The sequence below is a fragment of the Homo sapiens genome, chromosome 17 (genome assembly GCF_000001405.40).
Source record: "Homo sapiens chromosome 17, GRCh38.p14 Primary Assembly".
Taxonomy (NCBI): domain Eukaryota; kingdom Metazoa; phylum Chordata; class Mammalia; order Primates; family Hominidae; genus Homo; species Homo sapiens.
The window spans coordinates 6,985,123-6,998,936 of record NC_000017.11 but is presented as its reverse complement, the minus strand read 5'-3'; the positions used below and the strand labels follow the sequence as shown (position 1 = coordinate 6,998,936).

At 49.4% G+C, this 13,814-nt stretch overlaps 1 protein-coding gene and 1 long non-coding RNA gene across 3 annotated transcripts in view; one reads left to right on the top strand and one right to left on the bottom strand.

Annotated features, from left to right (window-relative positions):
- ALOX12 (arachidonate 12-lipoxygenase, 12S type) overlaps positions 1-2,888 on the bottom strand; it is a 14,706-nt gene extending 11,818 nt beyond the window's left edge. For both annotated transcript variants that reach the window (NM_000697.3, XM_011523780.3), the window contains exons 1-4: positions 2,685-2,888; positions 1,910-2,111; positions 347-428; positions 100-222 (exon numbers count right to left, since the gene is read on the bottom strand). In NM_000697.3, the coding sequence (NP_000688.2) occupies positions 100-222; positions 347-428; positions 1,910-2,111; positions 2,685-2,819 (542 nt within the window). In that variant the 5' untranslated portion in view covers positions 2,820-2,888. The remainder of the gene's footprint in view (positions 1-99; positions 223-346; positions 429-1,909; positions 2,112-2,684) is intronic.
- The window catches only part of ALOX12-AS1 (ALOX12 antisense RNA 1), a 27,212-nt gene extending 13,398 nt beyond the window's left edge, over positions 1-13,814 (top strand). Inside the window, exon 3 of the long non-coding RNA NR_040089.1 lies at positions 13,397-13,814. This is a non-coding gene — a long non-coding RNA (ALOX12 antisense RNA 1). The remainder of the gene's footprint in view (positions 1-13,396) is intronic.

Genomic DNA, 13,814 nt, shown 5'->3' with positions numbered 1-13,814 from the left:
GGCTTAACTCATCAGCTGATCCCTCAGTCCCTCACCGTCTATCATCATTCTTGGCCCTCCCAGCCCTTATTTCACTCCGAGGTCTAGCCTTTTTCTCACCCTGCCTTCAGTGTCCATTCAAAGTCCAGCCTCTTCTCCTCATGGAATCTCATATTTGGAGGTAGATCATCCTTACGGTCTGCAGCGATGGTCAGGGGTAACCCTTCCTTCCAGGTGGCCCAGCTAGGAGTTGGGGACAAAGCTTCAGGAAGGATGTCATGGTCAGTGATGGGGCCAGGGGCAGGGGCAGGGGCAGGGAAGGGGTGGGACAGTGGTGGCGGGGTTAGTTTAAGGGGTGGGTGGTCACCAGTAGATCTGCTGTCTGTCTTTCAGTTCCTTCTCTCGATGCTTCTGGAACATGTCCAAAGCATTGTCTCCTGGCAGGCGGGCTGGGGAGACATCAAGACAATTGGCCTCACGGCTCTGTCTGGTCCTATGCCCGCCTCTTGTCCTCATCTCCCTGTGGTTAGCCGTATTCCATGTTTTCAGCCATGCACTGTTGCTTTTATCTCTGGCTTTGCCTCATTTGATTATCCACCAGACACGTTTATCCCATCTTTGCCAACTTTGCACTCCTGCTTTCTCTTATTTCAGCCCTCATCCTTTGCCTGTAGATAAAAACCTCCTGTTTGCCACCATTTCTTGCTCCTTCACTCATCTTCCCCTACCTGGCCTTACTTCATCAATATCTATGGTTGGAAAAAAATCACCTTAATTAAGGTGATGAAATCTTAGTCACCTATACACCTACACCTACTGTCTACTACAGATTGCTTTGATTAATTTCACATCTTAAACCTCACCTGCCACGCCTTCACCTGTCCTCAAAAGATTCTACATTTGCTTTTTTTTTTTTAAACCTCATCTTTCTGGATTTACTATCATAATCTGTATCTATGGACTTATTCTGGGTCTTTTCTGCATTTACACTCACCTGTCTCAAAGTCATAGATTTGATGTTCCATCCCTACTGCCCTCACTCATCTCTGGATTCATCTCTCTTTTACTCATTACCCATGGTTAAAAATTCACTATTTGGGCCGGGCGTGGTGGCTCAAGCCTGTAATCCCAGCACTTTGAGAGGCCAAGGAGGGCGGATCACGAGGTCAGGAGATCGAGACCATCCTGGCTAATACGGTGAAACTCCATCTCTACTAAAAAAAATATAAAAAATTAGCCGGGTGTGGTGGGGGGTGCCTGTAGTCCCAGCTACTCGGGAGGCTGAGGCAGGAGAATGGCGTGAACCCAGGAGGTGGAGGTTGCAGTGAGCCAAGATCGCACCACTGCACTCCAGCCTGGGCAACAAAGCAAGACTCCATCTCAAAAAAAAAAAAAAAAAAAATTCACTATTTGCCATCCTCATTCCTCCTCGTCTCCTGCGGGCCAGTGTGCTTCTTGTCTTTCACGGGTGTCTTCCGTGTTATTCCAACCAAACCAGCTCTCCAGCATCCTATGTTTTCTTCCCTTAGCTGTCTGCTCTCACGGGTCACCCACCCCCTCCTGTTCCATGTGGTCCCCTCACCTGACTTCTGAGTCACCTTTACATCTCCTTCCTACTTTCACTTTGCTTCTCTGTTTTCCTGGATCGCTGCAACTCCCACTTTCTGTCTTTGCCTTCTTGGAAGATGGGATCTCCAGATCACTTACTCCCTGCCTCCAGCCTCACACGCAGCCTCTCTTAGCCTGTGTAAAACTTTGGGAATTCATAACTCCTTCCCGTTTTCTGTCCAGCACCCTGGGATCCCTACATTTCACCTGCCCTGGGCCCATACATCCTCTAAGTCTGCTCCGACCGTCCTTAACTCTGCCCTCCTAGCCCCGCAGCAGTTCCCGAGACCTTGTGCCTCCTTCCCCGACGCCGCCTGCTCACCGGTGCCCTCGGGCAGGCTCAGGATGTCCTCGCCCTGCACCCAGCGGTAGCACGGGAAGGCCACCTCCGCGCAGGCTCCAGGGCCCTGCACCGTGATGCGGTCGCAGAACCACGCGTCGTCCACCAGCCAGTGGTGCTTGCGCAGCCTCACGAACTGCAGGAGCCCCAAGTCCTCTGCAACGTCATGATCAAACTCCTCCTCCTGTGCAGGCCGGACCCAGGCCAGACTTAGTAGGAGGGACCCGACTGAGGCCGTTTCGAGGACAGAGCCGCGCTCCTGTGCAACCTCAGTTTCTCAGGGCCTCCAAAGACAGCATCGCCTCGTTCCCGCCCCCGCACAACCTGCTCTTTGGGTCTCAGACGCCCGGAGTCGGGTGGAGGACGAGGGCCCGCAGCGCCTGGAGCTGATGCTGGAGCAGCATCGCCCACGTGGGTCCCATTAACTGAGCTCTCCCCGCGCCGGTTCTTGGAGGAGCTTCACGTCTGACCTCTGGCCTCATACTTACATTGGCTCTGGGTCACTGGGAGAAGGAGCTGGGGGCTGCCGGGACCAGGGGCGGGAAAGGGAGATGGGGTTGAGCCCAGCCCGGGATCCCAGCTGCGGACCCTGTCCCTAATCTTGCCCACCTCGTCCCAGCTTCGTGGAAGTCCCAGTCCGCGAGGTCGCGCTGTCACCTCGCCCCCAGCCTCCCGCCCTCCCGCCGCGAGCCCAGCTCGGCCCGGGCCTGGGCCCGGGGTCCCCGCTGCCCTAGCTCCCCTCGCTCCCCGCGCTGACCTCGCCCCGCGCGGGCCGCAGCTGCAGCTCCAGCTCCGCCTCCCCGCGCGTCCCGACCAGCCAAAGCTGCACGCGGTTGTACGACCCGGAGAAGAGCCAGGCCCCGGTGGCCACGCGGATGCGGTAGCGGCCCATGGCGCCCCCCAGCAGCTTAGGCGAGGGGAGCCGGGTCCTGTGCGATTCCCGGGACCGCCCAGGGCTGCCGGCGCCTCGGGGCCACTTCCAACCTTTAAAGGACCGGTCTGCGGCCCCGCCCTCCTCGCAAGTTTTAGGCGCTCCCAAGTCCCCGCCCCAGACTAGCCCAAACCTGCGAGCAGAGCGGTAGAGCCGGCTGTGGGGACTGGCTGTGCCTCCTGGTCGGAGCGTAGCTGCAGGATGATAAAGGGGCCCGAGCCAGGGTGAGGCCAACGGGGTGGGTGCGGCGGGACCTTCCTGGACCTCCCGGGAAGGCGGGATCGAGGTGGGCCTGAGCCCCCGGGTTGGAGCGAACATAGATGAGAACACTTCCCGAGGTCTCCAGGTCTTCTGGGGAGCCAGGAGGAAGTAGGGGATGAGTCCATCTTCCAAACGGAGGGGAAGGTCTCCGCTTTTCTGGGCTGGGACCCGGGGAAGGCAGTGGGCCGGCTTCTGGAAGGTCGGCCTGGGAGGCCGTGCTGGGGTCTGGGGATGTCCCGCGGCTAGACCCGGCGCGGCCCATGTGTCCTCCAGTACCTGAGCTCTGCCGCCCTTGAACGCTGTGCTTCCGTCAACGACCAGGGGTTCCCCAGGGTACCTAGAACCTGGAAATGTAGCAGCTCAACACCCGCTCCCCACCCCGTTTCAAATATCTGGGCGCTGGGGTCCCAATGTACACCAAATATCATGGGCCAGACCTTTGAGAGAGGCCTGAGGCAGGGCAGTGAAAAACTCATTTTGTCCAACCTCCGAAGCGGGTACAGACAATGTTAGGGACCCAGGAACACCAGTCGGGGTGTTAGGGTGCGGGATGGAATTGCTTAGGGACCTGGCCTACGTGGCCAGTTCCCAAGAACTTTGTCTTTTCCAGGTGAGTGCAGCCCCTTCCGCTCCAGTAGGTTCCAGATTAATTTTTTATCCCCAAGCTCTTTCCTGCTCCTTCATGGGTCTCAGGTCTCCTGGAAATCCAGGAACAGCAATTAGCCCACTGCTATTTAGGGCCTTTGTAAACATTGAAGGATGATTCGGAGCTTAGGCTTTCTCTCCCGTGTCAGGAATCAGTCAGATGAAGCCTGCTGCACGCGTCCCTGTCTAGATCTTGATTCAAGTGATTATATGCATTTGGATCTCCGTGGATGCATCTGGTGGCCTGGGCTAGGCCAGTGTAAGTTAAATCTGCTTTCTTGAGCCAGTCCTCAGAAATGACTTGGTGGCCTAGTTGTTGGTAGAGGTAAGTGAGTGGGAGTTTTAGCCCCGCCTTCCAGCCTCCAGATCAGACTCTATCTCAAAAATAAATAAATAAATAAATAAAAATAAAAAAATAAAGTGTCTGTCCCTTACTGGATTCAATTCCCTTTCTTATCTTCTAGGTCCACTCTGGCCTACATCCTCTGCTCAGGACTGCAGGTCGGCCATTTGCTGGTCCCCAGTTCTTCCAGTTTTCTGGGGTCACCCCATTCTGTAATATCCAAATAAAATGGCTCAAATTCCCATCCTGCCTAATAGTAGGATCTGGCCTTTCCACACACATTTTCGTGGGTTACTTTTGCCTAGAAAAGAGTTTGTCTCATACCTACTTCCAAAAGCACTGTTTCTTTGCTGTTTTGTGACTTATTTTCTGCCCACTCTAGTGTACTCTACGGCCACGTGCAGAGAGAGGGAATGAATAATTGAAAAACCGGATTCAAGCTACTGCGCATGCTAAATGAGTGAATATGGCTAAACAGTGAGAACAGTGCTTGGCGTGTAGTCCCTCTATGTATTAGCTGCTATGATTGTATTATTTACAACTGAATGTTAGCGTTGCTCCTCTACCGTTCCTCTCCGCATGCTATTTCTCCATGTCCCTCTCTAGGCCTAGCCTCTCACTAGAGCTCTTATCACTCTAGACCCTTCCCCCTCCTGCTTTTGTTTCCCTTTTAAGCACATGCGCTATGTTGGGAGAATATAATTAGAAGCAAAATTTTCTCCCAACCCAGAAAAAACCTCTCCACGAAAGTAGTGAAGAAAGAAAACAGTTTTATTATTGAATAAGCATTAAACCAGAATGTGAGCACATCACAGGCAGTTTGCTAAGAGACTGCAAAGACAGAAGGAAGTCTCACTTTTATCTAGCCAAGCAGATACAGCCCATTACATATGTGTTCTCAAGATAAACTATAAATAATCTTTAGGAGGACTCGATAGCACCATTTGTCACATATAGTGCAGTCTAGAGACACCTGGCAATTGTGATGACCATCTATGTTAGCTAACTGGCTTAATCAGAAGAAAAACTTCTCTTTTTTTTTTGAGATAGAGTCTTGCTCTGTTGCCCAGGCTAGAGTGCAGTGGCGTGATCTCGGCTCACTGCAACCTCCACCTCCCAGGTTCAAGCGATTCTCTTGCCTCAGCTTCCTGAGTAGCTGGGATTACAGGTGTGCACCACCAAGCCTGGCTAGTTTTTGTATTTTTAGTAGAGACGAGGTTTTGCCATGTTGGCCAGGCTGGTCTTAAACTCCTGACCTCAGATGATCCACCCACCTCGGCTTCCCAAAGTGCTGGGATTACAGGCGTGAGCCACCATGCCCAGCCAGCTTTTCAGATTTTTATGACAGCAGATAGTTTTGCAGCTCAAGCAAAGTGTCCATTTAAGTTAGTCCTACCCTCCCACAGAAACTGGGAAATGAAGGCTCCATCTTTCTTGGTGTTTACATTTCAAGGAGATGGCTCCTGGGTCTTTGTGAAAGACATCCCTGGGTAGTAAAGCTGGCAAGAGGCTGTGTGGCTTCTAAAAATATTTATACACGTTTTGAAGACACAGAAAATAACTTACAAGTTTTCTGGCTGGGTGCGGTGGCTCACGCCTGTAATCCCCGCACTTTGGGAGGCTGAGGTGGGTGGATCACCTGAGGTCAGGAGTTTGAGACCAGTCTGGCCAACATGGGGAAACCCCATCTCTACTAAAAATACAAAAAATTAGCCAGGCGTGGTAGAGGATGCCTGTAATCCCACCTACTTGGGAGGCTGAGGCAGGAGAATTGCTTGAACCCGGGAGGCGGAGGTTGCGGTGAGCTGAGATTGTGCCACTGTACTCCAGCCTGGGCAACAAGAGTGAGACTTTGTCTCAAAAAAAAAAAAAAAATTTTACAAGTTTTCTAAAGCAAATTTTCTAAGAAAAGAGAGGGTGGAGAAGTCTCTTCCCTTACTTTCAACATGGAGAACTAAGCCTTTAATTTTTTTTTTTTTTGAGATAGAGTCTTGCTCTGTTGCCTAGACGGGAGTGCAATGGCGCTACCTTGGCTCACTGCAATCTCCACATCCTAGGTTCAAGCGATTCTCCTGTCTCAGTCTCCTGAGTAGCTGGGATTACAGGCACGCACCACCATGCCTGGCTAATTTTTGTATTTTTGGTAGAGATGGGGTTTTACCATGTTGGCCAGGCTGGTCTCGAACTCCTGACCTCAGGTGATTCCCGCCCCCCTTGGCCTCCCAAAGTTCTGAGATTACAGGCGTGAGCCACCGCGCCTGGCCAGTGTTTTGTTATAGTAGCCCAAACTGACTAGCAGCCTTTTGTTTTGTTTTGTTTTTAGACAGGGTCTCACTCTGTCACCCAGACTGGAGTGCAAAGGCGCCATCACGGCTCACTGCAGCCTTGATCTCCCAGGTTCAGGTGATTGATTATACTGCCTCAGCCTCCCCAGTAGCTGGGACTACAGGCCCGTGCCAACATGCCCGACTAATTTTTGTATTTTTTGTAGAGATGGGGTTTTGCCATGTTGCCCAAGCTGGTCTCAAACTCTTGGGCTCAAGTGATCCGCTGGCCTTGGCCTCCCTCCCAAAGTGCTGGGATTACAGGGGTGAGCCACTGCACCTGGCCATTTTATTTTTAAATTTTGATTTGTCCCTAACAACTACCATTTTGTTCTTATGTATGCCACAGGAAGGATCAGGGGCTTGATTTTGTCAGCACCCTTTGCAGTAGGAAAGGCCACGTGGGCACACGTGTATGCCAAATGTAAATCTTCTTTCAAACTCCCGATTCCCTGCTGTCTGTGCCAGTAGCCAAGCCAACTCCCACATTCCCATTACCTCTCTTTGCAGAACAATTTACCTTCTGTGTGTGTTTTTTTTTTTTGAGATAGAATCATGATCTTGGCTCACTGCAATCTCTACCTCCCAGGTTCAAGTGATTCTCCTGCCTCAGCCTCCTGAGTAGCTGGGATTACAGGCACCCGCCACCATGCCTGGCTAATTTTTATACTTTTAGTAGAGATGGGGTTTTGTCTTGTTGGGCAGGCTGGTCTCGAACTCCTGACCTCAGGTAATCTGCCCTCCTCGGCCTCCCAAAGTACTGGGATTACAGGCGTGAGCCACCGTGCCCGTCCCAGGCTCCACTTCTAATTCTAGTTCTCTTTCAATTTCTACTACATCTGCAGTTAGTTCCTCCAAGAAGTCTTGAACCCCTTGTAGTCATCCATAAGGGTTGGAATCAACTTCTTCCAAACTCCTGTTATGTTGATATTTTGGCTTCCTCCATTGAATCATGAATTTTCTTTTTTCTTTTTCTTTTTTCTGAGACTGAGTCTTGCTCTTGTTGCCCAGGCTGGAGTACAGTGGCACAATCTCTGCTCACCGCAACCTCCACCTCCTGGGTTCAAGCGATTCTCCTGCCTCAGCCTCCCGAGTAGTTGGGATTACAGGTGCCCGCCACCACGCCTGGCTAATTTTTGTATTTTTAGTAGAGATGGGTTTCAGGCCAGGTGCGGTGGCTCACACCTGTAATCCCAGCACTTTGGGAGGCTGACGCAGGTGGATCATGTGAGATCAGGAGTTCAAGACCAGCCAGGCCAACGTGGTGAAACCCTGTCTCTACTAAAAAATACAAAAATTAGCTGGGTGTGGTGGTGGGTGCCTGTAATCCCAGCTACTTGGGAGGCTGAGGCAGGAGAATTGCTTTAACCTGGGAGTGGAAGTTGCAGTGAGCCGAGATCATGCCACTACACTCCAGACTGGGCCACTCAGTGAGACTCTGTCTCAGGAAAAAAAAAGACGGGGTTTCACCATGTTGGCCAAGCTGGTCTCGAACTCCTGACCTCAGGTGATCCGCCTGCCTCAGCCTCCCAAAGTGCTAGGATTACAGGCATGAGCCACAGTGCCTGGCCTCAATCATGAATTTTCTTAATGGCATCTAAATGGTGACTCCTTTCTAGAAGGTTTTCAGTTCATTTTGCCCAGATCTATCTATGGCAGCTATATAGCCTTATGAAATGTATTTGTTTCTTTGTTACTTTATTATTATTATTATTTTAAATTTTAGAGCCAGAGTCTCTGTTGCCCAGGCTAGAGTACAGTGGTGTGATCATAGCTCACTGCAACCCTGAGCTCCTTGGTTCGAGTGGGCCTCCTGGCTCAGCCTTGTGAGTAGCTAGGACTGCAGGTGCACACCACTGCATTGGCTAATTTTTAAATTTTTTGTAGAGAGATGAGGTTGCACTATGTTATTATGTTATTCAGCTTGTTTTGAATACCTGGGCTCAAGTGATCCTCCTGCCTTGACCTCCTAAAGCACTGGGATTACAGGAATGAGCCACCATGTCTGGGCCCCTGTTTATTTTTATTTATTTATTTATTTATTTAGACAGAGTCTTGCTCTGTTGCTCAGGCTGGAGTGCAATGGTGTGATCTCGGCTCACTGCAACCTCCTCCTCCTGGGGTCAAGTGATTCTCCTGCCTCAGCCTCCCCAGTAGCTGGGATTACAGGCACCTGCCATCACGCCCAGCTAAGTTTTGTATTTTTAGTAGAGACGGGGTTTCACCATGATGGCCAGGCTGGTCTCTAACTCCTGACCTCAGGTGATACACCTGCCTCGGCCCTGTTTTTTAAAATAATTACAGTGACAGGTCAAAATTACTCCTGATCCTTGGGCTGCAGAATGAATGATGTGTTAGCAGTCACGAAAACAGCATTAATCTCCCTGTACATCTCCATCAGAGCTCTTGGGTGACCAGGTGCATTCTCCATGAACAGTCATTTTTGAAAGGAATGTTTTTGTGAGCAGTAGGTATGAACAGTGGGTTTAAAATATTTAGTAAATCATGATGTAAGCAGATGTGTCATCCAGGCTTTGTTGTTCCATGTAAAGACACAGGCAGAGTAGATTTAGCCAAGTTCTCAAGGGCCCTAGGCTTTTCAGAATGATAAATGGGCACTGGCTTCAGCTTAAAGTCACCAGCTGCATTAGCTTCTCATGAGAGTCAGCTTGCCCTCTGAAGTTTTTTTTTGTGTTGTTTTTGAGACAGAGTCTCGCTTTGTCACCCAGGCTGGAGTGCAGTGGCACGATTTTGGCTGACTGCAACCTCCGCCTCCCAGGTTCAAGTGATTCTCCTGCCTCAGCCCCCCGAGCAGCTGGGACTACAGGCATGTGCCACCATGCCTGGCTAATTTTTGTATTTTTAGTAGAGATGGGGTTTCACCATGTTGGCCAGGCTGATCTCGAACTCTTGACCTTGTGATCCACCTGCCTCAGCCTCCCAAAGTGCTGGGATTACAGGTGTGAGCCACTGCGTCCAGCCTTCCTTTGAAGTTTTGAAGGCAGGTATTGACTTCTCCTCTCCAGCTATGAAAGTCCTAGATGGTATCTTCCTCCAATATAAGACTTTAAACTACAATGAAAATCCGTTGTTTAGTGTTGCCACCTTCTTCAGTGATCTTAGCTGGATCTTCTGGATAACTTGCTGCAGCTTCTCCATCAGCACTTGCTGCTTCACCTTGCACTCTTATGTTATGGAGATGGCTACTTTCCTTAAACCTCATGAGCCAACTCTGCTAGCTTCCTGCAGCTTCCTTATCTCTCTCACCCTTAACAGATTTGAAGAAAGTTCGAGCCTTGTTCTGGATTAGGCTTGGTTTAAGGGAATGTTGTGGATGGTTTAATCTTCTATCCGGACCACTAAAACTTTCTCCATATCAGTAATAAGGCTATCTCACTTTCTTTTTTTTTTTTTGAGATGGAGTCTTGCTCTGTCACCAGGCTGGAGTGCAGTGGTGCCATCTTGGCTCTCGGCAACCTTCACCTCCTGGGTTCAAGCGATTCTCCTGCCTCAGCCTCCCAAGTAGGTGGACTACAGGCGAGCGCCACTACGCCCAGCTAATTTTTGTATTTTTAGTAGATACCATGTTTCACCATATTGGCCAGGGTGGTCTCGATCTCTTCACCTCGTGATCCGCCCACCTTGGCCTCCCAAAGTGCTGGGATTACAGGCATGAGCCACTGCGCCTGGCCAGTGAAGGCTTTTGTGATGAGTTAAAACATGGTGGAAAAGGTCAAAGGGGAAATGAGCACCTGCGAAGAGGATCCAAACCCAAGGGGCACCCTGGCTTTATAACAACACACACTCATGGGAATGAATTCATTTCCCCGAGAATCAATCCAGGCTCATGAGAGTGAGAACTCACTACTGTGAGAAGCACACCAAGCCACTCATGAGGGGTCCAGCCCCATGACCCAAACACCTCTCACTAGGCCCTACCTCCCAATACTGCTACACTGGGGATTACATTTCCTCTTTTTTTTTTTTTTTTTTTTTTGAGATAGGGTCTCACTCTGTTGCCCAGGCTGGAGTGCAGTGGTGCAGTCTCAGGTCGCTGCAGCCTAGACTTCCCTGGGCTCAAGCGATCCTCCCACCTCAGCCTCTCTAGTAGCTGGGACTACAGGTGTGTGCCACCATGCCTGGCTAATTTTTTTTTTTTGTAGAGACAGGGTCTCACCATGTTGCCGAGGCTGGTCTCTAATGCCTTGACTCAAGCAACCTGCCCACCTTGGCCTCCCAAAGTACTGGGATTACAGGCATGAGCCACCGCTACCAGTTGGGGATTAAATTTCAACATGACATTTGATGGGGACAAACAAAAAAAAACCATATCCAAACCATAGCATTGACTATAGTTAATAATAATGTATGGTATACTGGAAATGTGCTGAAGTGTTCTCAGCACAATGGAAAAAAGGTAACTATGTGAGGTGATGAATATATGAATTAGCTTGATTGTGGCAATCATTTCAAATTGTAGGCATATAGTAAACATCACGTCATACACCCTAAAATAGCCAACTTTTATTTGTCAGTCATACCTCAGTAAAGTTGGGAAAAAGGCTTTGGCTGATTATAAACAGTTCTGGTGAAACACATCATTCAGTATTGCTACGTCCTAGGCAAGGGCTGCTAATGTGCTCTTATGAGGGAATGCTGGGTGAAAGAGTATGTGTGTGTGGGCACACAGAGTGTGTTTGTGATATTACAGAGAATAGAGTCAGTGGAGAGATGGAGGCAGAGTGCATTTTGGAGTGTAGCATGCCTTTTGAGAAATAGGGCTGTGAAGGTAACAAACAGAAGGCCAGAGCTGGAGATGGGTAGTCAGTAGAGCTAGTGAGAGGGACAGGTTAAGATGCTGGAGGCCTTGGGTGTAAGTGATGAGGGGAAGATCCCGAGGGAGGAGATAAAATCTGGAGAATGCGTGGAGGAACTGGCCTTACATCTGCATTTTCCCATCCAAGTACTAACCAGGCCTGGCCCTGCTTAGCTTCTGAGATCCGATGAGATTGGATGTGTTCAGGGTGCTATAGCCGTAGACAGATCGTGCATTCTCAGAGTGGGCAACCACATCTTAGATATTGCAATGATTCGTGGCCCTCGAAAGGGTCAGAGTACACAAACATATATTAAGGGGTTAAAATTTCACAAGGTAGCAGGAGCGGGGAGCAATTAGGAAAAAATGCCTTAGGGCCAGGCATGGTGGCTCACACCTGTAATTCTCAGCACTTTGGGAGGCTGAGGCGGGCGGATCACCTGAGGTTGGGTGTTTGAGACCAGCCTGGCCAACATGGAGAAACCCCCGTCTCTACTAAAAATACAAAATTAGTCGGGCGTGGTGGTGCATGCCTGTAATCCCAGCTACTTGGGAGGCTGAGGCAGGAGAATCACTTGAACCTGGGAGGCGGAGGTTGCAGTGAGCTGAGATTGTGCCATTGCACTCCAGCCCAGGTAACAAGAGTGAAACTCTTTCGCAAAAAAAAAAAAAAAAAAAAAAGTCATAAAGGCTCCATAAGGGGGCAATGATGGAAAAAAGTAGAGGAACATGGCCTGAAGTAAGAGAGACAATTCTTCCTTCGTAATAGGAAACAAAGCAAAACAAATGGAATTGGCAGCAAATCAACTTGAAAATGACGTGTGGGGAAATATCCCATTTGATGAATTGCATTTTCTTTGTGAAGTGCTTGGCAAGGATCTGGCTTCTGAGGGTCAAGGAAGTTGTAGGGGCATTTCAGAGATAGAAGGAGAGTGGAGAAAGTTTGAATAGACTCTGAGGGCATAAGAGAGAGAGCTGAATGAGGGGCTGGGATAGGAATGCTTGGCATGGCTGAGACACTAGGTGAAAATTGGTGATCATGAATTTACCGCCTGAACGCATGCACCTGAACGTCTTCCATTCACTTATTCTGGAGCTGGCTCTACTCGACATTTCCTTTTTTTAATTTTTTTTTTTTTGAGACAGGGTCTCACTGTGTCACCCACACTGGAGTGCAGTGGTGCGATCTCGGCTCACCGCAACCTCCGCCTCCCAGGCTCAAGCGGTTCTTCTGCCTCAGCCTTCTGAGTAGCTGGGAGTACAGGCATGCAAAACCATGCCCAGCTAATTTTTGTATTTTTAGTAGAGACGGGATTTCACCATGTTGGCCAGGCTGGTCTTGAACTCCTCACCTCAAGTGATCCACCTGCCTCAGCCTCCCAAAGTGCTGGGATTACAGGCGTGAGCCACCACACCCGGCCTCTAACATTTCCGTAAAGAGATTGGGAGGCCCATCCTGGCACCCCCCTTCAAGCCCCCACTGCTAGACTAGTCTTCAGGGACACAACACCCAACCCTCGGACTCTCCTTTCAGGACCCAGCTGGAAGACCAGCCAGAGTATTTTGTATTTTTCATTCTATCTGGAAGAAGCTCAGCTAAAAGAACAGTTGAGCTGTAGGGTCCAACAGTGGGCATGAGGGGCAGCAAAACTTCACCCCTTCTCTGGGATCCCCGGCAACACCCCGTCACTATTCCATGCTCTGTTTATTTTTCTCTTTGCTCTAAGGTTTACCTTGTAATCCTTCATTGTTCAAATCGCTGTCACTGATTGATAGAGAATTTTCATGTCTTGCCTGCTGCTGATGGTGTCTTTGTTCCACCCTGAGCTGATCCCTATTTGGCAGCTATCATTAACACAGAGCTGGTCCATGTCACAGACTTTTCCTGAAGGTTTAGAAGGGCAGGGACCAGGGTGAAACTAGCGAGGCACTTTCCTTGAGTGCCACATTTAAGGGGGCACCAAAAACTCAGTGCTCAAAATAAATAACGATTTAATGCAATATTTAAAACACCAAAATGAATGGAAGAAATCCATAATGAACAAACTATTAGAATTTTAAATAAGAACAGGATCAACTGTAAAGCTTGATATTAGCCATCTATCATCTTCCTAACATACTTTTCTTTCTTTCTTTCTTTTTTTTTCAGAGACAGCATCTCGTATGTTGCCCAGGCTGGCCTTGAAAGCCTGGCCTCAAGCCATCTTCCTGCCTCAGCCTCCCAAGTAGCTGGGATCACAGGGTTGTGGCATCACAGCTGGCTATATTCTTAACATTATTTTGTAACCATTCCAACCCCCAGAAATTTCTCTCTGGCTGACTTGATCCACAGCGCCTCCATCGCCATCCCTGAGTGCCTTGTTGTGGAAAATCTTACTTTATCTTGGTTCTGTTTGGTATAATCGGGGAAAGTCTGTATTCTTTCATTATGTAAAACAACTTATCTCTCATTGTTTCATCTCCTTTCTGAGCTCTGCTCTGCCAGCTCTCTTTCCAAAACCAAAATGGCTCTTCAAGTTATTTTGTAAATAATAATGGGCCATCTACTTCTTAACATAAATGAATGA